We start from the raw sequence: 26,562 nt of genomic DNA on the forward strand, positions 1-26,562 counted from the left end.
TAAAAGAATCACACTCTAAGAAACACACCCGAGTACTTTAACATATCTGGAATAGAGTTGCAAATGGTGCATGCCTAAGTTTCCTGAAATTCAAGAGTTTTGACATGCAGTTGCTAGATCAATATTTGCACATTTAAAAGATCTAAACTGAGTTAAGAGATGCTTTGTATCCACTAAAATCTCATTGAAGGGAAGAGAAATAAACGAATCATACATACGACTTTTAAGATGTTTTGAAACAAGTCCCCCTAAAAAGAAGGCTTTCAAAGAAGGCAAACATTGAAGATTTGCTAATAAAGAAAAATATCTTCCCAAATAAGTGATTCAAACAATGTGGGGCATCTATCACGGTTTCATTATCCTACTCAAGGTTTAGAGAAAACATTCCTTAAACTTTCAGTAACCAGATATTCTCATTAGAAAACACTGACCGCCTTCTTTCAAATATCACAACCAAATTTAAACAATTTTGTAGGAAAGCATCAAAGAGTGCAAACCATTGTTATTAAAGAAAGAAAATGATAAAAAAAAAAAAACACAGGTTTTGTGGGTCAATATGGAGCAGACTTTCTTAAAAGGCGAAATATTTTGGCAAAACTTACCCTAAACACACATTCAAATAATGTCTGGAAGTTGTGAAAAGACCCTAGGAAATGAACTCTTCTCCTTTCTACAAATATTGAGAAAAGAGCTACCAGATGCAAATGAACTGCTGAACTCAATCTGTGGTCTTAAAAATGTATTTCAATAGAATAGCCAATGTATCATCTGAGTATGAAAAAGATGTACCATAATAGCATTCTGAAAAATGAATTAGGAACACATTGTCATCAACTCCAGGAAAAATAATAAAGGTAGAAAAGATTAAGAGGCAAGCATATCTTTCGGAATTGTAAAATGGGTTTATAGGTCTTCTAATAACAACTTTTACTCAAACCTTACATAAATAGGCTTAGATGATACAAATATTATGTGGGCTGTGTGGACACTCCCAGGTTCCTAATCATGTTTAGGGATTACTCGACAGAACAGAGACATTTCATTCCTATTGGGCCGAGGGATTACAGCAAAGAAACATCTAATATTCCATTTTTTAATTTCATGCATTTTTTATTTACCTTTAATGATGCTGTATATATTCATCATCCTGAAATATTAAAACAGTATGAAAAAAGTAATAAATTGGTGGAAAATTTAGGGAATAGGAATGCAACAGCACGCAAATCATACACTATCAAGTGCTTGATACACATTTAAAATTACTGCCTACTACGGCAAAGCCAAATTCCTAGCAGATTTCTGAAGCACAAAGTCACAATAAGAAGATCAGCAGAACAGACTGAAATAATAGAATATTCATCCCTCTAATCCATATGCAATTCTTCAGGGCTTTTTTTTTTAACAATGCATATGAGGTCTGACTGTATTCGGGATTTAAATAAGTTGTCTCCTTCTTGCTCCTCTCTATTTTTGTAAAAAGAAAAAACTATATACAGTTATCATTTCTGCACTGCTGCACCAACAATGACAGGGTTAGCACATTTCCTCACACCTCAAATGAAACAATAGCATTTTTAAACAACAAAAGTGTTAAAAAGGAATACATTTATTCATCCCACTAAAACCTCCTGAAACAGCTTTTTGGGAAGAAGAAAAGTTGTCATTATTGATGGGGGGAAATGAAGTGACGTTTTTTGTCATTTCATTACCAATGAATGGATTGATACTATAATATAATATTGCATTTAAATACTGAGAAGAGCTAAGGTTGGCATTTTATTTTTGCTTCACTCACCTTCCCTTGCAGGGAGATGAGAGTGCCTATCAGGCATTATTCAATATTGTAACAAGGACTAGAAAATTGTAGAGGAATAAGGAACCATCATCTGGTTTGGCATGGGCACTTCTGGAGGGCACTTGACACTCTAGGAAAAAGAAACGGCACACTGGTCATCAGATGCCCTGTTCAACAAGATGCCTGGCATGGTCCTCATCCTCTTAGCTCATGCCCTCATTGCCAAGAATTAGCAGCTATCTTCCAGTGGCTGCTGTGGGTTTCTTTTTTTTTTTCCTTCAACTTTCATTTTAAGTTCCAGGGTACATGTGCAGGATATGCAGGTTTGTTATATAGACAAATGTGTGCCATGGTGGTTTGCTGCATAGATCATCCCATCACCCAGGTATTAAGCCCAGCAACTATTAGCTATTCTTCCAGATGCTCTCACTTCCTCCCTTCCACCTACCGCAGCCCCCAGTGTGTGTTGTTCCCCCGATGTGTCCATGTGTTCTCATCACTCAGCTCCCACTTATAAGTGAGATCATGTGGTGTTTGATTTTCTGTTCCTGTGTTAGTTTCCTGAGGATAACAGCTTCCAGGTCTATCCATGTCCCGGCAAAGGACATGATCTCATTCTTTTCTATGGCTGCATAGTATTCCATGGTGTATATATACCACATTTTCTTTATTCAGTTTATCATTGATAGCATTTGGGTTGATTTCATGTCTTTGCTATTGTGAATAGTGCTGCAGTGGACATACGTGTACATATATCTTTATAATAAAATGATTCATATTCCTTTAGGTCAAATGGTATTTCTGCCTCTAGATCTTTAAGGAATTGTCACACTGTCTTCCACAATGGTTGAACTGGTTTACACTCCCACCAACAGTGTAAAAGTGTTTCTTTTTCTCCACAACCACAACTCGCCAGCATCTGTTGTTCTTTCGGTTTGTTTGCATATGCTTATTTCTTTCATTAATGACCCTTTATTGTCTCACAACAAGGAGGAAAACCAACAAAACAAAAACTACTTCAAATCCTTCCTATTCTTTAAAGTTTTCTGTATATCTTCTTCCTTTTTTAAGCGACTTTCTTTTCCATTCACCCAAAAGCATTGATCCCTACTTTGTGCTAATGTTAACAGCAAATTTCTTATGGCCCAAATCACATTTCACTTCATGGAATGGTCCTTTGCCATATAAGCATGTCTTTTACGGGATTAAGTCCTTTCAGGGCAAAGGCTGAGTCTTTTTTTCCATTATTTTCTCTCCTGCAATACTGATCACAGTTCTTTGTACTTTGTGGGTATTTAGTACTTTTTTTTTTGTCATTGTCATTGAATTGATGGAAGCTAGTTAAATGTTTTATTTTGGCTATGTTCAGTGTTTTTCAGTTCACTATTCAAATTAGACAATTCTACCAGTTGTGGACATGGTTTGTTAATATTAATAATCCTAAGCAGAGGGATGTAACACCATTTTAGAAAATAAAGTGGAGAAAACCAGCCTGTTTTCCCACCTAAAACACTGACCCTAACAGAAAAGAGTACACAGCTTTGTAGAACAATGGAAATGTTTACAGGGTATGGAGCAGACCAAAACAATACAACTGTAGAAATAAAAATTCCCATTATTGCCAAGTAATAGAGAGACATGTAACTCTTCAAAGGGGCATATGGCAGAGGAGAGAAGAAGCGTTCATCATTCCATTTAGGGGAGAAAATAAGCGTTTCTTTACAGAGAGAGATCTCACTACATCCAAATTTAATAAGTATAAAAACATAGCCTGGTAAGATTTTAAATAAAAAGAAAAATTTTAAGGAAGTTCTCATATTCCAGACTTTTGTCATTTGTGTAGCAGTGATGTGCACCATTTTCATTCAACACTCACAATACATAATACATTTCAGAGTCGAGATAAACTGAGAATTCAGTTTTCTTCCTTCTATTCTTTATTGAATGTTTTAAGTTTATTCTTACATTCCCCTTTAAAGACATGAAATAGCTTGAGAAAAAAATATTCAAAATATGGAGTGATGAATGGCAAGAAGAAAAGAGAAACAACTCATAAAGGGTTATGTAAATTGTAGGAAAAATCAAACATAATGTCTTTGACATTCCCTCTGCCTTATGTCAGAGCAAACTCCTCAATTCTGATCATGACACAGTGATCTTATCTACGACATGATATCATCTTTTTTTTTCAGTTCAAATTCCCATGCCAGTAAGCCTTTCGACTCTAGGCACTCATTCAAAAATTCAGGAGTGTTCTCAAGTTCTTGTGTGAACCAAGATGTGTCAACCCACAGCAGGTGGTTCAGCTGCTCTGAGATTCTTTGCTGAGTATATCCAGCCTTTGGCTAAAGCCTCTAACAAACAATACATTGCTTTGCAATTAGCCACCCGTTCTTATTAGGGTTAATAAATTACCTGCTATTTATAACTGTAGACAACAGGTCAAGGGTGTCACATATGATGGGGCAGAGAAAGTAGTAAAAGTTTGCTAACCTTTAAATTCTATACCAAACACCAACTCCATTCATGAAGGCTTGTCTTCCCTTTCCTATGAAAGCATTCCTTCTCTTGTCTACTTATCCTCTTTATGGTTGCACGAACTTTGCTTTCCCTGCCTTTGTGGACTGATCATATTTTATTGGACTTTTTGAAAATATTTCTAGAACAGGAATAAACTACATTACGAAGTTTTCAGAGCCTGACCTAGTTTTATAGATTCAGCTGCATGTGTGTTAATGTATTTAAAAAAAACAAAGTCTGAGCTAATAAGAATACATAGGGTTAGGCCAAGTGACATAAACAGTTGGAAAGAGAAGCCATTGGTAACTACGGTTGTCACCGCTCTTACCTTACTTGCTCCCTCCTTCCAGGACAAATGTGTCCATTTACCCTCACTAGGACGTGCAGTTTCCCACCTTCCAGACCATACTTTCCCTGTTTTGCGGTCTCTATTTAGTGGGATTTTCTATTTGCTGGGAAATATTCTAAATATTTTACCCATCCCACTGAACCATTTGAAATTGTGGGGGTTTATTTGTGGGGATCTTAATGGTTAAATATTAAAAATTCCTAGGCCAAGCACGGTGGCTCCTGTCTGTAATCCCAGGGCTTTGTGGGGCCAAGGTGGGAGGATCACTTTAGCCCAGGAGTTTGAGAGCAGCCTTGGCAACATAGTGAGACCCTGTCTCTATAAAAATGTATAAATTAGCCGGGTGTAGTGGCCTATTCCCGTAGTCCCAGCTACTCAGGAGGCTGAGGTGAGAGGACGGCTTGTGCCCAGGAGTTTGAGGTTGGAATGAGCCATGATAACAGCACTGCACTCCAGCCTGGGCGACAGAACAAGAACCTGCCTCAGGAAAAATAAATAAATAAATAAATAAATAAATAAATAAATAAATAAATAAATAAATAAAATTTAATTTAAAAAACAATAAGAACATTTAAAAAATTTTAAAAATGAAATTTCCTTATGATTCAACCTAATGCCTATCTCACTTGTGTCTTACAGTGCTATTTTCTGGTGGATAGTATTATAGTGCAGTGTCACACAACTACTCACATACAAAAGCTGGGCTTTAAAACTGGCTCTACGTGGGTTCAAAGCTTGGGATGCTGACCTCCATATTCTGATGTCCCTAGGTAACTCTCCATTGCCTGGCCAAGCAGAAGGGGGGTTAGATCTTTGTCACAAACGTATTCATCTTTTAAGTATTTGGTAACTCTGACATGATAAATCACAGTATCTCAGATTGGGACCTTCTACATTTCTCTATAAAGATGGAGATGTATTTTTCTTTTAGAGTTGTATGAAATGAAATAATTTGATGGTGAATTTCAACCTCTGCATAGAAATGTACTGTGCCCAGCCTACATGTAAATATGCAGCTCTGTCCAAGTAGCTGTTCTAAAAGTCACTGTTGCAAAATGCGATTTCATTAAGAAATAAATACCGATACTCTCTAATTAAAGTCTGAATAGATAATAATCTATACAAAATAGCTAACAGTTGGAGGAAATCAATTACCAAACCCAGCTGAAAAACTAAAACTGTCTCAACTGTAAAAGAGATGACCAACAACCAAAGAAAATTTATCTCTTGAAAACAAATAATGGCATCAAGGTTGTCATTGTACTTCTTAACAAAAATGCTCACAAATCAATAAATTTAAAGAAGGAATCATGGCCTTAAAGTGGTAAATATGTTTCCCAGTCCTCCTCTCCAAGGCAAATCCATTGGCACACACCTGTTGTTATGTAACAAAGTGAATTAGGCAGGTGTGTGGAAGGCTTATCTTTAAGTCATCAAGGATTTCTGCTACTCCTGAGTCTCAGGTTCCTTCATTTGTTTATATAAATGGGCCAATAGCTGTTGAAACACTTCAGAGCACTTAACTAAAGCAAACAAAGCTCTTGAACTTTAAATATCCAACAAGAGAAGCTATTGACAAGTAGGACTTTACTTAGCAAATCTCAGTATTATTTGGAACCTTAATACAATCTTACAGATTGATAAGGAAGCCATACAACCCAGATGCTTATCTTCATTTAGATTCCACATAGAAGACACTGTACTAATTTTAGACAAGGTTCCAAAAACAATGCTCCCATCTAATAGTTTTGCTTTGTTTTCTTTTTTAATTTTTATTGTTGAGATTGAAGATGAGTTTACCCAATTAGAAAAGGGAAAGAATGTCTTCGACTTGTAGCTTAGCCTTCCAGCTCTCCTATTTCCTCCCAAACTGAAAGGTATTTCAGAAAGCTATCCTGTGATGAGAACCTTCGACTAACATCTCGGTGCCGGATTTCATCTCAATATTCCCAATATCTGAAAGAATTTGCATGAGTCACAGACCCTTCCTAAGCTCCAAAGTCTTGAATCTGTAAGAGAAGGGAGTAAGACTGGATGCAAAGACCTCTTTCAACTCTAATAGATAATTATTTTACTATTTAATGTATTTACAATGATGAAATCAATTGATTGTTTTATACTGATAGCTAGAGAAAGAGGCCACAGTACTGTTGTATATAAGGTTGCATAAAATATTCTCAAGTGAAACTAATGGATTCTTTGTTTTGTTTTCTTTGTGTTTAGGAAGAAAATATCTGTGTTTCTTTGGAGATTGGTATTGCAGTGGTGTGGAGATGCTGGGTTTCATTCTTCCTTTGGAATTTCATAATCTTACTTTAGTTACTGCTTGGATATGGGTTTCCTTTTGGCACTAAAAGGAAAAACACAAGAGAAAACTCATTCTTTTTTAAAAATTTAAATCACTTAACTTTATTTCCATTTTCCTTTCTAGGCTGACAAACACATTGAATTCTAGCTTGTCTCAACTTTCAGGTTTTCTAATTCGACAGAACTGTTTATCTTCTCATTTCAGACTTAATAGAGCCACCCATTTCTGATAGGAATGCAAGCTTTCTTTACAAGATGCAAGGCATTAGACTAAAATAGTTTCTCAGGAAAATTTCAAAACTTCTACTGGCTCCTGGCCTATGATTTTATAACTTATAGTGCAGAAAGGATTAAAGCCATATTCACATCCTTAGCTACTGACTGACTGCCTTTCATTGCAATGAAAGGGAAGTCTGTTTTGTATATACCCTTCACAAAATGGACATGGCTGAGCTCTACAGTACTTGAGGGCAGGTTCCAACTACAATGCATTCTTCTTATTTATCTTTTTTTCTGATATAATCACCAGTAATGATGAAGCAAAGTCCAGAAAATCTGTAAAATGACTTTCTTTCCCCTACATTTCCTAGGGCCGCATTAGGGAGCAACGCCCAACATCTTTTCAAGTGTCTTGCTGTGTTTTAAGTTATTTTATTAGGCTGGGCACGGTGGCTCATGCCTGTAATCCCAGCACTTTGAGAGGCCGAGGCAGGCAGATCATTTGAGGTCAGGAGTTTGAGACCAGCCTGACCAACATGGTGAAACCCCATCTCTACTAAAATACAGACATTAGCCGGGCATGGTGGTGGGTGCCTGTAATCTCAGCTACTCAGAAGGCTAAGGCAGGAAAATCACTTGAACAGGGGAGGGGGAGGTTGTAGTGAGTGGAGATCGTGTCACTTCACTCCAGCCTGGGCTTCAGAGTGAGACTCCCTCTCAAAAAATAAAAATAATAATAATAAATAGTCATTTTAATTTTTTTTTTTTTTGCCTGTATTAGACAGAGTGTGAACTACGGAATGATAAAATGTAGTCTTAGGCACAGATCCTGCAGGGAATAGCTTTTGAAATTCTCCAACATACTAAGTTATAATTGGGTTTTAATGCATAAAATGGCTGAGCAATTTAAATGTTTAGAAAACAGTCTTTCCTAGAGTTTATGAAGTGGTAAGCCTATTTCTTATAATGATTAACTGTGAGTCATCCTTTCAAATACAAGCATCCATTAGCATATGCTCCTCACAAGAAATGCTGCAAGGCACTTGCCAGTTTACCAAACTAGTGTCTTATTATGGCAAATTTGTCGCAGATTTTTATCTGAGAAATGAAGATGGGAAGTAACGAACCATGAACCACATTGAGTTTGCTGTCTACCTGCCTTGCCTTACTAGGTGAAGAACAATGTTTTAAAAACATATAATCACTATCTGTCTGCATGTAGTCTTGCTTGGAGACAGAGAATTCACTACATCAGGAGGTCTGTAGTCTACAGAATGTGTCACAGTGACAGAGGCCTGTCCTTGAAGACTTGATCCATCTGCTTGTTTTTTACCAGAGCTTCCCTTTGCCATCAGTTTCTAGTCCCACACCATAAACATCATTTCAGTAATGGTGAGCCCTCTTCCCCTCTTCATGTCAAAGTATGCAGGAAATGCAGGCATCATTACCTCTACATGTCAATTGTGAAAGCTTCTGGGCCCAGAGACAAGTCCTTCTTCCACAACCTTCCTGCCCCTTAAGGAAATGTTTGAATAGAGAAATCATTGGCCTAAGCCTCAGAAGAACAGTGCTTGGAACTGAGCTCCATCACACATTGGTTATACAGCTGAATATTGCTTAAATGTCCTAATGAAAACAATACAATGTGGATACAGTAATAGGCAAATTGGGTTGTTGTAAGTGTCCGCTGGGATAAAGCAGGCAAAGATAAGGAGGTTTGCAAATGCAATATATCATCGTAAAAGAAATCAGCCCTTTGAATTTTTTTTTAGCAACAATTCAGAGGCTGAGAGAAGGAAGGCACAGCCAGAAAATCTGAGGTAGTGAGTTCTAAGTTATATTTAAATTAATATAACTTAAATGGAAGACGAATGGGAAAGAGAAATAAGTTAATAAATGCACAAGACAAATAAGTTTGATTCCTATGGATGCTAGAAGTGTATGTAGTGGTAAGCTGGGCAGCCTTGGGCTATGAACCAGTTGAGATTGCTTATGCTCTACAAAGCATTCTAGTCTGAGAAGAGCTGGAGGTCACATGATTCCTTAGCATTAGCATCCTAACAAGGTCCTTCTGGAAATGTAATGACAGGGAATCTTCAGCCCAGCACTACTGAAAGATACATAGTTGCAGGCAGATGGGCTTCCCATTCTGATTTATCCAGATTTAAACTAAATCTATTAGTTCTTCAGTGGCAAAAACCTCCCAACCAATGAAGTCCACGTATTGTCTGAGTTGACGGGTCAATCAATGTTGACTTTGTAGCATCAAGTTGGGAGTACAAACTCCCACTCAAGTTGCTTGTATTTTCTTTGCTAACAAAACTAGAGGAGCAGCAAAGTTTATCTAAAATTCTCATCTTCAAAGATGTAACGGACAGGCAGGTAGAGTTACTTTGAATTTAAACTAAGTTCTAATGATAAAGTGCTCAAGTCACTATGAACCAAGCAAATTGTTTAAGGACAAAAAAAAAAAAAAACACACACACACACCCATAGGGACATACGGACGGCATGCAATCAGTATGTCAATGCACATTAGATAAAGTTACAATCTAATATAATATATTTATCTGAACCGGTAAATAAATGGTATGATGAAATGTAGTATCAGGATCAAACGTACAGTGTAGAATAATGAGAGCTGGTACACCTACTGACCTTGAGCTTTGAGTGTTAGCTGCATGATCTGGGCTCACCAGCCATTATCAGCACAGTTTACAACCCAACTCAGAAGTCAAGATAGGTGATAAGCAGAGGTTACTGACAATAATGCTATTGTTAGAATACCATTATTAGATTATTACAATATTATTGAATATAATGAGAAATTGTTCTTATAAATATTTCTCAATTTATAAAACATTTCCTGGTTTAATTTCATCCCTATACTAATAAGCCTTGGAGGTGAATATCATTGACTCTATTTTTCAGATAAGGAAAGTGAGGGGTAAGGAATTGAATCTTTCTGAGTCCAAAAGTCTTTGTCTTAATTTTAGGCCATACTACACAAATTCCATTTTCAGATTTGATCCCAGAGTCTTTAGCTAGAATGACGTTAGTATTACTCTGGACTTTGGTTCAGAAAGGAATCTGAAATTGCTCCTTCACAGTTTTACACACTTTGGTTATAGAAGGGCTTGGTAAGCTCTGCAATAATCAGTTGATCACGTGAAGTGACCTTCAGTATCTACAATTTTCATGAGGGCCCTTTAAGCTCATCTCTCTTTCCCAACTATATGAGCAGGGGGGTGATCCCTGCTGTCCATCACAGACATTGATACAGAAGCATTGATTGCTTCAAGACCAAAAGAAAAATACAGTTCAGATCTACAGATTATGATCATAGAAAAAGCCTGAAAAAATTATTTATACTTAATGTTAACAGTGGCTTTCTGTATGTAATGGAATAATGAGTGATTTTCATTTTCTTCTCCAGGTTTTTTATTCTTAAAATATTTTACAGTAGATATGCATTATATTGTTACTAAAAGAATTAGTTTAAAAATAACAGTGATATACTGATCTGATTTTAGTGAAAAAGAAGTCTGTAAAATGTTCTCCCTTATTGTATTAAGACACTCACCTTATTCTGTCCTGGTTTTTAAAATATATTCAAATGTGATCCATAGTTACACTGTATTTATTCATTGCTCTGGTTTGTCTTCTGATTTCTAGCATCTGACAATAACTGCAGGGAATGCTGAGATAAATCCTAGCTCTATCCCTCACTAACTACATGACCTGGAGTAATTCAGCCTCCCCATTTCATCATCTATAAAACAGGAATAATTATGACCTATGTCTTCGTATGCAAGTGAAGTTCTTTAAAATTCTCTAGCTATCCATAATTTTTCCCTCTTCATAAATATAAAACTTATTTCATGTAATTCATTTGACCTCTTAAATTGACAGTTTGTATACGTATTCTATCTCACGAATTGGTCAAATGTACAAATGAAAGAAAGGGTATGCAATGGTGCATACAGTATCAAGTAGGATGTATGGATAAAATGAAGGGCAAATAAAAGCTAGTCACTCACAGTCACGTAGGACCTAATAGAACCATGTAAATAACCACAATACAAGTTAAATGGGAAGGGAAATTGGGGAAGAGTAAGCTTATTTCCAAATAGAATCTGAATCAAGAAAGACTTAATGTATAAGGTAGCATTTGAATTAGGGTTTTGAAAGAGGAGCAGAATTTCATAGGCTGGAAACTGGTACTCACATACAAGAAAAATTGTGAACTTCTGAATTTTCTTTGCATCTCTACCTCTCAGTAGTGTGCCTACACAAATCATTTCCTACCATTTCATTGTTCATTATTCTCTGCTTAAAACTAACTCTTTCCTGGTTGAAACTATCAAGGATTGAACATTTCTCTCAAGCTCAAGAAAGAACCAGAGCTTGCACCTGGGAGCAATTTCCCAGAGAGAGGAGAGCCTGGGATCTTCGTAGTCCTCCTAGCTATTATGGAAATGGATTCCTGTGACACTTAACAGTAATTTATTGAGCAAAATTTGTATATATATTCTGCAAATTTAAGGATTGAAAACAAGCTGTGTTTTTGTTTGGTTGGTTTGGGTTTAAAACCCTGAAAGTACCTTAATGCATGGATTTATTTACCTGTTCGTTTGGTTGGTTAGTTGGGTTTTTTGCAAAGCGCTTCCTTCACAGAGATGGAAGGAGACCAGGTTTCATATGTTACCACATCTGCCTGGTGGAGATGCCAACAGCTCCTGTATCAGAGGGCTCTTATTAAAAGCACATAACAATAGTAAGAGTTTTATAAATATTTAAAACAAGGAAGATCAAAATCATGTGACCAGAATACACACCTTCGCCATGATCTTTACCTTAATATTTTAGAGATTATTTGTTGTCTCTACAAGTACTGGCATTTGTATTTTCTACAAGTAGAAAACTCGGGCACAGGGAATAAACCCCCAAAGAACAACTTGTCATAAAATGTTAGGTTTTTAATTTTTCATGCCTAGTTAACAGATGAAACCAAAGGCTATATTTCAGTGACCAATAACTTTGTTGCTGTGTTCTCATTGATGCTAGAACCCATATGTCCTCTGCTAGTGGTTCATCTTTTACCCGTTCTCTTTTATTAACTTATCATCCTAGTCTGTGTGGTATTTATAATAATTGATCATGGTGCACATTTCAGTGAGCATTTGTCAACCCACTCATGTCTCAATGCCCCATGGTTAGGGATATCTTATTATGTGCAGCATTACACAGAGAAGGGTCTCAAGTCCTTATTAAAGATATGAAAAACACTAGGATACAAGGACATATGTATGTCTTTAAGTGACATTTCTTTTATTCCTGTATTTTAGAAGATTAAGCTATCTCAGTAAATATGAATCGTATTGATAGAATGGCTGTGAAAATCAATTTACAGCCAACAGCCCCTTTGTTTTGCTAACCTGTGAAGTTTATTCTTTCTCCAGTACTATAACTGTTACCTGAAGAGCACCAGAGCTCCTGACACACCTGGAGTGTGTGTATGAACATACACACATTTACAGCAAGAAATCTTTGAGGACAAGAGGGGTGAGGCAATTGTTAACCCCCATCACCATCAACACGAAAGGGCCATTCACTGGTTACCGACCAGATACTGTGCAAGATTCTTTCAGAGGTGTCTCCATTTAGTTCCTTACAACTACCCTATAAGTTAGATACTATTATTCTCATTTTACTGATGGAAAAAATGAGGCATAACAAAGTTAGCATGTTTAAGAAACCTGTAGATAGTAAGGGCAAAAGCTAGGACTTCAACCCAGACCTGCCTCACTCCAAATGCCACAGTTTTTTTTTTTTTTTTCTTTTTTGAGATGGAGTCTCACTCTGTTGCCCAGGCTGGAATGCAGTGGCGCCATCTTGGCTCACTCCAACCTCCGCCTCCTGGGTTCAAGTGATTCTCCTGCCTCAGCCCCTAGGTAGCTGGGATTATGGGCGCCTGCCACCATGCCCACCTAATTTTTGTATCTTCAGTAGAGATGGGGTTTCACCATGTTGGCCAGGCTGGTCTCAAACTCCTGACCTCGAATGATCCACCCTCCTCGGCCTCCCAAAGTGCTGGGATTACAGGTGTGAGCCACCGCGCCCGGCCTGAAATGCCACGTTCTTAACCACCCTACCTCACTGCCTTCTCACCTCAGGAGGGGGATTCATGGAACAAAGCAGTGGCTAAAATACCAGCCAACTTGACAATGCACAAACTGGTATCAGCAAAGGCCTAAGCAATATCATGTTTCTAAATGGAAGCATCAAGGCGTTGACAGCACAGACACACACACATGCACACACACAGGAATTTTATTAACATCCTCTCCCTGCTGAAACTTTTAATGCGGGCCTACAATGCATTCATTGCAAGGTGCCATTAGGGCCAGGCTCACTTCAAGTGTTACCAATTCATGGGCAGATTAGAGGGCACATTAATAACGTAGTTAATATGAAGTGTTTAGAGCCTCCACATCGGTGACAAATACGACTCAGCCAAATTTCCTGACCACTGAGGCCACGGAGGAACAATTTGGTAGATTTCATCAACAGTTCTAATTATGTTCCTGTCAAGTCGAGAACGAAGTAATCCATAACTGGGGGGTGCTCAGAAACAGTGGCACAGAAGAATAATTTATGCCCAAGGCACAGGGTCCTTTCTGTAGTTAGTGTGCACAACGCTTGACTAACAAGTGGGTTCAAAAAGGAATTTATTAGGGAAAACACAGCCCTCTCGCTTTGAGAGGCTTGTCAGGTGTAAGCTTATGAGGAGTTATGAGGTAATGACTTCTAGGAAGTCTTGTTTATACAAGCATCTGGAGTTCAGGGCTCTCGGAAGCCTCAGAAACTGCAGGTTGTAAGATGCAGGATCTTGGCTCCAAGCCTCACTCAGACTTTTTTCACCCGCTAGATTTGAGCCATGTCTCTTGAGAGGATTTGTGGGCAGACTTTTAAGTGTGACAGGAGGGGAGGCTGGATAGCGGGAGCCAATGAGGAGTCAACTTAGGGAATAGATTTTTAAAAAATAACTGTTCGATCCTCAGATAGCATTATCATCGGAGATACAGGGATAATGTTAGAAGGAAAAAAAAAGGGATGCTTTTATGAGGCTATAAATAATGTGCTAATGGAATGTGCAAAGGAATTGTTAAGAACAGTAAACTGAAATGTCATAATACCCCCAAGCCTGGGCGTGCTCTCACCTCCTACAACTGAACTATGAGACAGACAATTGGAAAAGAGCAGGGGGAGGAGAGGAAGGAAAGGGGCAAGGTGGGGAGGTTGGGGGAGGAAACGCATCACACAATGTTTGAGTGATTTTCCACTGTGATCTATATTGGGATGCAGCTCCTGTTCTCTCCAACAGGGTAATTTTATACATGGCATTCTTATTAAATATTTCAAAGGGGGGAGGGGAAGGAGGAGGAGGAGTTACGTGTCTGGTGCATATTTTTTAAGAGTTAAAGCTGGTGTTGTTAGCAGAGGCTTGGTTATTAGCACCGATCAACTGTTAATTAAAATAAAATGAAGCTTCTTAAACTTCATCACCTTATTGCAAATTATGCAAAAACCACAACTAATTGCATTATTAGCAAAAATTACATTTAAAAATAGCTTCACACAAAGAACTAAAATTATCTCATCTAAACTCGCTTTTACCAAATGAAGCCTGAGGAGACAGAGCTCTGAGGAAAACAAGGGAAAACAAAGGTTTTTCAGCCTCTCATTCAACGGGGGGAGGAAAGAGGAGGAGAAAAAGAGAGAGAGAGAAAGAGGCAGGGGGAGAGGGAGAGAAAGAGGGAGAGGAAGGGAGGAAGGAAAGAAGAGAAAGAGATTACTAAATACTAATAGAAATCGTGAATAATGCGACATTACTTAAGGTAAACTATTAATATTAGATAAAAAATTTAGATAATTCCTACTAAATACAACATGATATGCATTTGGATATAGCCAATTCCTGATCCTTTACAAAAAATTTTCCAGGCAATGAAGTGAGAAAAACCAGGATTCCTGATTACTAAGACCTTCTTTGGTTTTCAAATGTGGGGCCTGGTCAGAAATGGGGTGAAAATAAAGCCCAAGAATGAGGAGAAAGATGTTTGCAAGTCACTGGGCACTTACATGTAAATATATATACATTTTTTAAAAATAGAAGACTATTATTTATTGTTCTTTTTTCCCCAAAGATGCTGCTACACTTCTCCTGGGTAGATAGCCAAGAGCTGCCTGTCTGCAAATGATTCTTCATGCTTTATTTTGCTACACAGAGACTTCAGGGTGCCCACAGGTCCCTCTGGGCTCTCTCATGTTATACAACTGGCAATATGCTAATGCCAAACAAGGCAGTGCATTTTGTCTTATGAGCAAGCGCTACACAATAGCTCATTTACAATGAATCATTGTACATTTAATATCATTTTGATTAATTTTTTCCCTCACTGTACCCACTTACTTTTAAGGCCACCTTCATCTTTACTCAGCAACAGCAGGTATTTTAGCAAAAAGTAAAACATTAGATGGACAAAAGGACAATTATCATATACATTTCCAGGAATTCCTTGCTCAACATTGACTGACGCTGCTAAGCTGAACTGAAAGTTCCTTTTGACTGTTAGTCTTGGCCAGGTTTCTCCGGTAGGTGGAGAACACTAGCACTATTCTCCTAATCCAGGAGAGCTAGAGACAAGTCACCTGCTGAAATGTCATCCTGCTTCAGGGTCATGTTGTATAACCCTTTACATAAACAGCAACTGCCTGAGGAGCATCTTACATTCAACAACTCTGAACGAAACCCTGCAAGCTCATTCAGCAAAATGGCCACATTTGCTAACAGAGTAAACTGGCCCATCTGGTGGTGCACCCAACTCACCAAAGTCTGGGAGGAGACAAGCCTACCTGATTTCCCTCTACTCTTTTTAAAATTCCTCTACTGGCTGGGTGCAGTGGCTCATGCCGGTAATACTAACACTTTGGGAGGCCAAGGCAGGTGGATCACCTGGGGTCAAGAGTTCGAGACCAGCCTGGCCAACATGGTGAAACCCCATCTCTACTAAAAATACAAAAATAAACACAAAAGTTAGCCAGATGTAGTGATGTGTGCCTGTAATCCCAGCTACTCAGGAGGCTGAGGCAGGAGAATCCCTGGATCCCAGAGGCAGAGGTTGCAGTGAGCCGAGATTGCGCCACCACACTCCAGCCTGGGCGACAGAGTGGGACTCAGTCAAAAAAAAAAAAAATTCCTCTACTGCCATCATGCTTTGTAAATTAATTTTATTTTTTTTTCTCTGTAGGACACCCAAAATTCTCCAAGATTTAGGAGAATTACAGCAGTACTGAACAATTCCAAGGCATTGACTGCACTAACACTTGCAGTTCCAGCAGAGTCAGCGTGTCAGGATCCTTCACAGTGTAAGTGCTCAAGAAATTACCTATGGATTGACCGTTCTGCAAGGAAAATTGCATATTTTCTAAAAAAAAACACCCAATGTTACACTTCAAATGTTATAAAAGAATTATTCAACCACATAGTGTTTTGAAAATGTGTAATTTAGAAATAACGTGTAAGGTGAGGAAATCAATTTAGTCATAAGAATTCAGTCAGATCCACAGCATTTGATATCCAGTTCCAAGGCTGTATGTATTGTTACTAGCATTAGCTACAATTTCCTGGGCTATCTGTACTAATAATTACAAGATATCTGCTTGTAGATTTGTAGGCTTTATGGTATGTTGATGCTTTAGTGCTTCTAGGTAGTTTGGTCCTTCTTCAAGATCCAGATTCATCGTTTCTGTGACAAATTTGACACACAAAATTAGCCAATTAGTACCATCATTTGTTGTTCTTTTCCTACTCCTCTTTAAAAAGAGCAGCCAATAGATACCGCTTAAGGCTAAATTTAGGGGAGAGAAAGATCATCTGTCTAAATCAAGGTGGTTAATCCAATTACCACATTTCTCTGAGTATAGCTGCCCTCAGGCTACCATATATCACTGTTCATCTGAAAAGTGTTCTTCAGAGATTTTGCTGGGGAAAATCTGCCAGCATTGTGCTACCCATGCATAGCTCCATAGAACAAGCAAGTGGCAGTAAAATGCTACGGATAGCACATATGTTGAGGCTGGCTCGAGGAGCACCCCAACTGTCACTTATGGAGTTATTCCCTATGCAATGGCATTTAGAGTGCATTGACCATCAAAGCTGAGGTGAGACCATGAGTCTCTCTAGTTCTTCATCTGCACAGTTATCACGGGGACACCATGGTTCAAACAACAGCGCTGCAGTGAGGGTGAAATGAAACATTGTACAGTTCACACATTTTGCAAGCTATAAAGTTGAAAGAGAAAGAGCTAGAGTCAAAGGTGACTTAGGGACGGGTGCTGTGGCTCACTCCTGTAATCCCAGCACTCTGGAAGGCTGAGGCAGGAGGATTCCTTGAGCCTAGGAGTTTGAAACCAGCCTAGACAACATAGTGAAACTCCATCTCTGCAAAAAATAAAAACATTAGCCAAATACAGTGTCTTGCACCTGTAGTCCCAGCTACTGAGCAGGTTGAGGCGGGAAGATCACTTGAGCCCAGGAGTTTGAGGCTGCAGTGAGCTGTGATCGCATCATTGCACTCCAGCCTGGGCAACAGAATGAGACCCTGTCTCTAATAAAATAAAATAAATACAATAAAATAAAAAATCAACATAACTCTACCCGTAATATAAAGGACAAATAAAGAAAAGTCATTTATTTTTGATTTTTTTAAAAGATGACTTAGGTATTTTTCAATGGAGATGGATATTGGAGTAAAACAGTGAGTCATTAACAAAATCACAGTCAGGAGGTGATAACCTGGAAAAGAAGATAAAAAATGTTTGAAAAATGATTGTCTTTGACCAGCATCTTGAAGTGCTGTTGAAAATTAAAAGACAGGTCAAGACTGGAATGTACAATTGGGTATCGCATGCATAGATATGAGCTTTGAGGCCCTACTCATGGAAGAATGACAACAACAGATGCTAGCAATTTGAAAACAAAATGTTGTCTAAGAAACAGGGAGAAAGTCAGGCATAGATAGGCTCATGAGACCTAAAGAAGAAGAAAGTGTCGATAAGGAAAAGGCCATTAAATACAGCAGAAAGCACTGAGACAGTCAGCGGTTTTGGTGATTGGAGGGTCATTGGAGCCTTAGAGACAGCAATTGAAGTACAGTAGGGAGGCAGACTCCAGATTACAAGCGGTTAAAAAATGTTCTATGATAATCAGGGGGAGATCAGGCAGATGAAACATTTTCATGATAAAATTGATAATGAAGGAATGACAGTAGCAAGGGAGGCAGCTGTGGAGTTTTTTGTTGCTGTTTGCTTTGTTTTTGGAATAAGAGAACTTTGGCATGTAAATGGAGGAACCAACTGATAATCAGAGTTGAATCTTTGGTAACACCGTGTTGAAAGAAAAACTTCAGCTGATTAAATTTAAAGGAGTTTAACTGAGCAATGAGTGATTCACAAATCGGGCAGCCCCCAGAATCATAGCAGATTCAGAGACACTCCAGCGCAGCCACTTGGTGGAAGAAGATTATATACACAAAAAGGGGAGTGACGTACGGAAATCGGAAGTGAGGTACAGAAACATCTGGACTGGTTACACTCAGCATTTGCCTTATTTGAACACAGTTTGAACACTCTACAGTGTATGAGTGGTTGACACTGACACGGCTGCTGGTATTGGCCAGCCTGTTACAGGCGCACACTCCCAAGTTAGGTTCTCAGTCTCATCTACTTATAAAGTTAGGTTGCAGTTCGTCCTCAAGGACTCAAATATAGAAATACGGAGTCCTTCTCAGGCCATATTTAGTTCACTTTAACAACCGGAAAGGTTGGCATCAGTTTTGGAAGGGAGGTACATTCCACCAGAGGTGAGAGAGGAGAGAAGATGCCTAAACCTCCATTTAACTTAACAATGGAAAAGAACTGCCAATGAAGTGGGTGACGACTTCCAGTCTCTTAAAAGAATTACAGGCTACCAGGAACGGGAGTCAGGTCAAACAGCCAAACAAGGCTCAACAAATACACAGCCGTAATATTTATATCACAACATTTAATGAGGGAACTTAGCTAAAGCGATTTTTTAATGTCTTGAGAACAAAACCGCTTGATTTATTGAAGCTTCTACTTTTTATTCCATTGTTCTGAAATCATGTGGCCCTAGTTCGATAGAGTCCCATTGTATCAAAAAGCAGAGTTTAAGAAAAAGTACCTGCTTAATTATGTGTTTACCTCTCAATCAAGTGAAATATTTTAGGAGCTCTAGGTTCTGCTTGTGCAGAGTGAGGGACACAGCCGATGCTGCGATTTCAAAAAAAAAAAAAAAAAAGAAAGAAATCCAGAATGATACATTGGAAACCTATATTTTTATCATTAGATCAATTTTCAAACCTAACAAAAATAATTAAGGAAGGTTTTGGAGAATGTAAAGACTCAATTCTGACATATTCACAGCACAATTTTAGAAACAAAACAAAACAAAAACTTCCTTCTCCTCTAGTTTCCTTTCTGTTATTATACCCACAAGTTTCAAGAATCTGTCTGTTCATCTCCAAAAAGAAAACTTCAGGACAGGAAGAATAAGAGAAAACAAGAAAATTAGGTTGCTGTCTCACCAGTGAGTTGAAACCCATCAGCAGTAAGCCATTGAATTTAACTGCACATCTTTTATTATTTTATTTTACTTTTTACTGTTTTTCTTTCTACAATCACGGGCCTACCAACACTGTAATCTCCCAGTGGGAGCCAGGCACAGCACAATAGGATGACCGGGGAAGCGCCAGGAAAACAGGTGATCTCTCTCTTCTTCCCTCTCTGTGTGTACAAGGAGCTTGGCATAAATGAGTTTTACAACAGCCACCAGCCATTGCTTATTTTTTTCTGAGCAATCATCAATATCAGCATCAAGTGGTGCAGTGGCTCCACAATGAGTCGTGGCGGCAGAGTGAGCCCAGCATGCAAACATTTTGGCTAATTTAAAATCCTTGTGCAGCCGAATCAAATATGACAAGACGATGGCAAAAAGAGAGGCTATTATCCCAAATGAGAGTTGGTAGATGGCTGAAATTGGTTTGAGTGGCAGAGACAAAAGAGGGGCAAAGCAGAGAAATAACTGAGAATAATCCCAGATAAAACAGGCTGCTATACATACATGTGTACAAACAAAAACACACCACAGACACACACACTCAGAGCAGAAACATAATTGCTTCCAAGCTTTAGTACTGGACGGATCAAACATGCAACCAGCTTATAATAAAAATAAATAATAAAATTACACATGATAAGCATTTGTCCAGTCACAGGTAAAGATATATTCTATTTTTTTTTTAAATACAACTTTTAGGCCGGGCAAGGTGGCTCACGTCTGTAATCCTAACACTTTGGGAGGCCGAGGCGGGCAGATCACGAGGTCAGGAGATCGAGACCATCCTAGCTAACACAGTGAAACCGTGTCTCTACTAAAAATACAAAAAAAATTAGCCAGGCGTGGTGGTGAGTGCCTGTAGTCCCAGCTACTCGGGAGGCTGAGGCAGGAGAATGGCGTGAACCTGGGAGGTGGAGCTTGCCATAAGCCAAGATCGTGCCACCGCACTCCAGCCTGGGCAACACAGCAAGACTCCGTATCAAAAAAAAAATACAACTTTTTCCATAGAAATCTCCAATTTTTAGAATATTAAAACTGCCATTTCATATTTAAATAAATGTGCTGATGTCTAATAGCTGTGACTATGGGGAAGACGGGAGTCACTGATTTAGGACTGGCAAATTTTGGCTTAAAGATAGCCCAGTGGGTTGGTGCTGAGAGTCCAAAGATCCCCTGGTCATCAAGAGAATCTGAGAGAGTGGGCTGGAGATGAGGAATTCCTCATGAAAGGCAACAGAGAGCTAAAAAGCAGGCTGATGGGGTCCTGAGCCACGAACCTTGACCACAGCTTACAGTGCCATGGCTTCCACCCTGAGGAAAGATGACCTGTGGGGAGCTGTCTTTTGTAAGATTAACAATTTAAAAGGGTTGAAGAGAATTTTTTCAAATAGTTGTGGCTGCAGACTTTTTACAAAGTAGGTTACAAGGTCAGCCAGCTTTCAGAAGCTTTACATTGTGAGGTGTTTTTGTCATTGTTGTTGTTCCAATAGAGAGAGTAGACTTAGGGTGGCATGCAGCTACAAGCCCAAAATATGGATATAAATGAAAGTCTCTTTACCACAGCCTAGGTTTGGGAGATGAGCTTTTCTTTAGTCTGTTCCCCAGAATTATGCCTTATATATAACTGCACATGAGAAGGCATGAAATGGAGACTAAAGCCACCATGACAGTTGACTGTTGCATTCCATCTGCACTCAGCTGGTGAAACACCTTTCTCTTACCTTAGATCTCCTCCTAGCCAAGCACCTGAAGCCAGGAATTGCGAGGGAACAGAGAGATCATTATGTGTTTACTCCTATCATACATTCTCAATATCAAGTAAAAATTGGTTCTCACGTTGATAATGATGAAACAAGCTCTAGTGTGGCAACAGAAACTGGGTTTAGTTGGTTTTTCAGTCTATAAAAGTGTTGTCTTTAGTACATGAAGATCACACCACTGACAGTTGGCATTTACAAATTTGTCATTTTTCCCTGGTTTTGATAATGCCTTTGAAACAGTGACACTCCCTTTTCTGATACTGTAGTGACTAGGGGGACACATGGGTAAGACATTCAATGAATTTTAGAGGAATACAGTGATTTTTTTTTGAAGACGAAAAACAACTGGCCTAGATAGGGATCAAATTCCTGACTTTAGCCTCAACTCACCAGGCTATAACCAAGTAAATTTACCTTAAATAACAATTGTTTAAGGTGAAAATAATTGTCAAGTAGTTACACAGGCATACCTCAGAGAAAATGTGGGTTTGGCTCCAGACCACTGCAATAAAGTGAATATCACAGTCAAGTGAGTTACAGGAATTTTTTGGTTTTCCAGTGCATTTAAAAGTTACATTTATACCATAATATAGTGTGCAATAGCATTATGTCTAAAAAACAGTTTTAAAATACCTTATTACTAAGGAATGCTAATGGTCATCTGAGCCTTCAGTGAGTCGTAATCTTTTTGCTGGTGGAGTGTCTTGCCTCAATGTTGATGGCTGCTGATTGATTAGAGTGGTGGTTGCTGAAGGCTGGGGTAGCTGTAGCAGTTTTTTAAAAAAGGACAACAATGAAATTTACCACAGTGATGGAGTCTTCCTTTCATGAAAGATTATCCTGCACGCAGGGTAAAACTTTGAAAGAAGTTTTACTACCCACCATAAAACTTCTTTCAAAATTGTAGTCAATCCTCTCAAATCCTGACACTACTTTATCAACTAAGTTTATGTAATATTGTAAATCCTTTGTTGTCATTTCAACAATCTTCACAGCACCTTCGCTAGGAGTAGATGTCACCTTAAGAAACTACTCATCTGTAAAAGGCTTTTCCTTTTCCATTCAAATTTTATCATGAGATTTCAGCCATTCAGTTGCATCTTCAGGCTCCACTTCTAATTCTAGTTCTCTTGCTATTTCCACCACATCTGCACTTCCATTCTCTACTGAAGTCTTGAATCCCTCAAAGTCATTAATGAGGGTTGGAATCAAGTTCTTCCAAACTCCTGTTAATGTGGATATTTTGACCACCTTTTATGAATCACAAATGTTCTGAATTGCCTCTAGAATGATGAATCCTTCCAGAAGGTTTTCAATGTACTTTACCCAAATCCTTCATAAGAATCACTATGACAGCTATAGCATTATAAAAGGCATTTATTAAATAATAAGACTTGAAAGTCAAAATTATTTCTTGATTTATGAGCTGCAGAATTGATGTTGTGTATATGAATGAAACCAACATTCATCAACATGTCCATCTCCATCAGAGCTCTTGGGTAACCACAGCTTCATGTATTTTTCATTCATCTATTGAACAGATGAATGAAACCTTCATCTCCTTGTCCATCTATCAGAGCTCCTGGGTAATCAGGTGCATTGTCAATGAGCAGTAATGTTTTAAAATGAATCTTTATTTCTGAGCAGGAGGTCTCAACAGTGGGCTTAAAATATTTAGTAAACCATTCTGTAAACAGTCAACCAGGCTTTGTTGTTCCATTGATAGAGCACAGGCAGAGAAGGATTTAGCATCATTCTTAGGAGCCCTAGCATTTTCAAAATGGTAAACGAGCAATGACTTCAACTTAAAGTCAACAGCTGCAGTAGACTCTAACAAGAGAGTCAGCTTGTTCTTTGTAGCTTTGATGCCAGGCATTGATTTCTCCTTTCTATTAATAGCTAGGAAAATCCTAGATGGCACCTTCTTCCAATAGAAGGCTGTTTCATCTACACTGAAAATCTCTTGTTTGCTGTAGCCACCTTCATCAACGATCCTAGCTAGATCTTCTGGATAACTTGCTGCAGCTTTGAAATGAGCACCTGCTGCTTCACCTTCCACTTTTATGTTACAGTGATGGCTTATTTCCTTAAACCTCATGAACCAACCTGTGCTAGCTTCCATCTTTTCTTCTGCAGCTTCCTCACCTCTCTCAGCCTTCACAGAATTGAAGAGAGTTAAGACCTTGCTTTTGATTAGGCTTTGGCTTAAGGGAATGTTGTGGCTGGTTTGATCTTCTACCACTAAATCTTTCTCCATATCACTAATGAGGCTGTTTTGTTTTCTTATCATTGGTGTGTCCACTGGAGTAGCACTTTTAATATTCTTCAAGAACTTTCCTTTACATTCACAACTTGGCTAACTGGTGCAAGAGACCTAGCTTTTGGCCTGTCTCAGCTTTCGACATGCCTTCCTCTGTAAGCTAAATCATTTCCAGCTTTTGATTTCAAGTGAGAAGTGTGTAACTCTTTCCTTCACTTGAACACTTAGAGGTCATTGTAAGGTTACTAATTGGCCTGATTTTGATAGGTTGTGTCTGGGGGAATAAAGAGGCCCAAGAAGAGGAAGAGAGACGTGGAAACAGTGCATTGGTGGAGCACTCAGAATACATATAACATTTACTGATTAAGTTCTTGGTCTTATATGGGTATGGTTTGTGGTCCCCAAAATAAGCACAATAATAACATCAAAGATCACTGATCATAGATCACCATACAAGATATAATAATAATGGGAAAGTTTGAAATACAGCAGAATACTGCAAAAATTACCACAATGTGACACAAAGACCTGAGGTGAACACAGGCTGTTGGAAAAATGGCAGTAGGTTTGCTGGACAAAGGGCTGCCACAAACTTTCAATTTGTAGAAACATGCAAGATCTGTGAAGCTCAGTAAATCAAAATGCAATGAACAAGGTATACCTGTAGTCATCATCAACTCACTCCAAATTGGTGGCCCCCTTGTTAAAGGTTATTGTGGATCTTTAAATTAAAATAGAATTTTTTTTTTCTAATTTCTGGGGAGGGAGTGAGAGAGAAGCATCAGCACAGAGGAGAGAGAGAGAAACACGCACACTCAGGGTAGACTCCCAGCACTGGCCTCTCCACCCCGCAGGCCTTTTCCGTTTTGAGAAGCTCTTAGAGCACAGAAGCAGACCTGTTTTCAGGGCAAACATCTAACTTTTAACACCAGGGGCTGGCAATCTGGTCAGCATCAGTTTGTACACTATCCTTGTCCTGAGGGATTTTACAGGAATTCAATCAGGAAGCAAACTGTGGAAGTACATGAACACTGGGCAAAAACAGCTGCCAACTTCATTTAGGATGGAACTTTAACATAAAGGAACAAGGTCTAGGAGCATTTTGCAGCCCACTTTGGAGAGCTGTTAAGAATAATGCCTCCTCAGGACAGTGGCAGGCCAGGTGAAAACCTGAAAGAATAAGACAGGTAGCTTATGGCAGGTTTACTTTATCACGCCAGCACCTCTTAACCTCCCCTTCAGCCTGCAGGGCCAGATGTAGCCTGTAGTTTGGAATAAAAGACAAAAAAGGCAAGTGTCTGGTTCTAACATAAAACCTTTGGGAAATGCACATGTTGGTTCATCTGGGTTCAGCAAATAGAGCAATCTTTACTTCCTCATTAATTTTTACATTAAAAGAAAGAAAAAACAAGAAGAAAATATCTGGGTTTAGAATGGTACAGATGATTTACAAAAAAAAAGAGGGACATTACTTTCCATAATCAGGTCCAGTTTTCATATCTAGTTTTCATTTTTCAAGGCTAAATTAAGTAACCCTCTAATATAAAATAAGCTTTGGCCATTAAAGAGAATAAAATTAATTGATCTAGAAGCTTGTTGTCAGATTGGTAAAAGTAAGGCCAGAAGATAAGCCTCTTCATTATTCATAGTAGCAAGAAAGACTAAAACAAAACATCCAACAACCAAAGATCATTTTTGATGCAGGACCATCTTACTCTTAGGAAATCTTTGCTATTAAACCTATTCGCTATGCCTAGTTCTATATGAAGTTCTTAACTTCCTTTTCATTTTTTGTCTCAGAGTTGAATTTATATATTTATACTGAGGCTTAAGAGAACCCTGGTTCGTAGTTCAGAAAGACATTGCTTTCTAGGGAGGTCCGATGCAGGTCCGTAGGGCATTTCATCCATCCTGTGCTTGCGTGGCACTCACTACCAAGGGAGCCTATTAGGAAAGAAGGGCACACTGAAGTATGAACTGAAAGCTGTCAGAAAGGGAACACCCAGATGCTGGTTGCAGCAGCTATGGCTGAGATTCCATTTGTCTTCAGAGCATCAGCAGACAATATATGTATTCTGTCACAAACTCCACTTCTCTCTCCAATCCATAGTGTCCTTAATGTAAGAGGCAGATGTGCTTTCTGCCCGGAGATGTGGCAGCAACCAGACTGTCACCCAAGACTCTAATTAAGTGGTATGTGACATGCTTCTAAGGCAACCCAGCCAAAGATCAACCTGCCCATTTTACTGAGTAAAGACATGCATCTTTATCTACCCATTGGCAGGAAAGCAATACTACTAATCCAAGAAGCAAAGGTGCTATGACTTTGATAGTGCATTTATACCACAAATCTTTGAAGAAGTAAAAGAGTGTTGAAAACTGCTTTATTGCCTCATGTGCCAGCTGTGATCTGACATACACAAATGTAGGGATATTATTCTTTTTTGAGCTGGTAGAATTTCATAAAAACCAGTAAGCTGGAATCCACACTCAGACCTATGAGATATATATCATCAAAATATTAGTGACTGTGAACAAATGCTGGTCTGGATTAAATCTTTCTTTTTGCCTTAAAGAGACTAAAACTACCTTTCTACCTTGTCCAAATTCATGATGATCAGGGAATTGGACAGAAAACCTAGTTGCTGC

At 38.6% G+C, this 26,562-nt stretch overlaps 1 protein-coding gene across 41 annotated transcripts in view; it reads right to left on the reverse strand.

Moving 5' to 3' along the window:
- The window catches only part of ESRRG (estrogen related receptor gamma), a 634,457-nt gene that overhangs the window by 313,291 nt on the left and 294,604 nt on the right, over nucleotides 1-26,562 (reverse strand). The window contains exon 5 of one of the 41 annotated variants that reach the window (XM_047449397.1): nucleotides 11,817-11,929. The exons of the other annotated variants lie outside the window; for them this stretch is intronic. The gene's annotated coding sequence lies outside the window, so the exon portion shown is untranslated. The remainder of the gene's footprint in view (nucleotides 1-11,816; nucleotides 11,930-26,562) is intronic. 41 annotated transcript variants of the gene reach the window in all.

Source organism: Homo sapiens, chromosome 1, assembly GCF_000001405.40.
Source record: "Homo sapiens chromosome 1, GRCh38.p14 Primary Assembly".
Taxonomy (NCBI): Eukaryota; Metazoa; Chordata; class Mammalia; order Primates; family Hominidae; genus Homo; species Homo sapiens.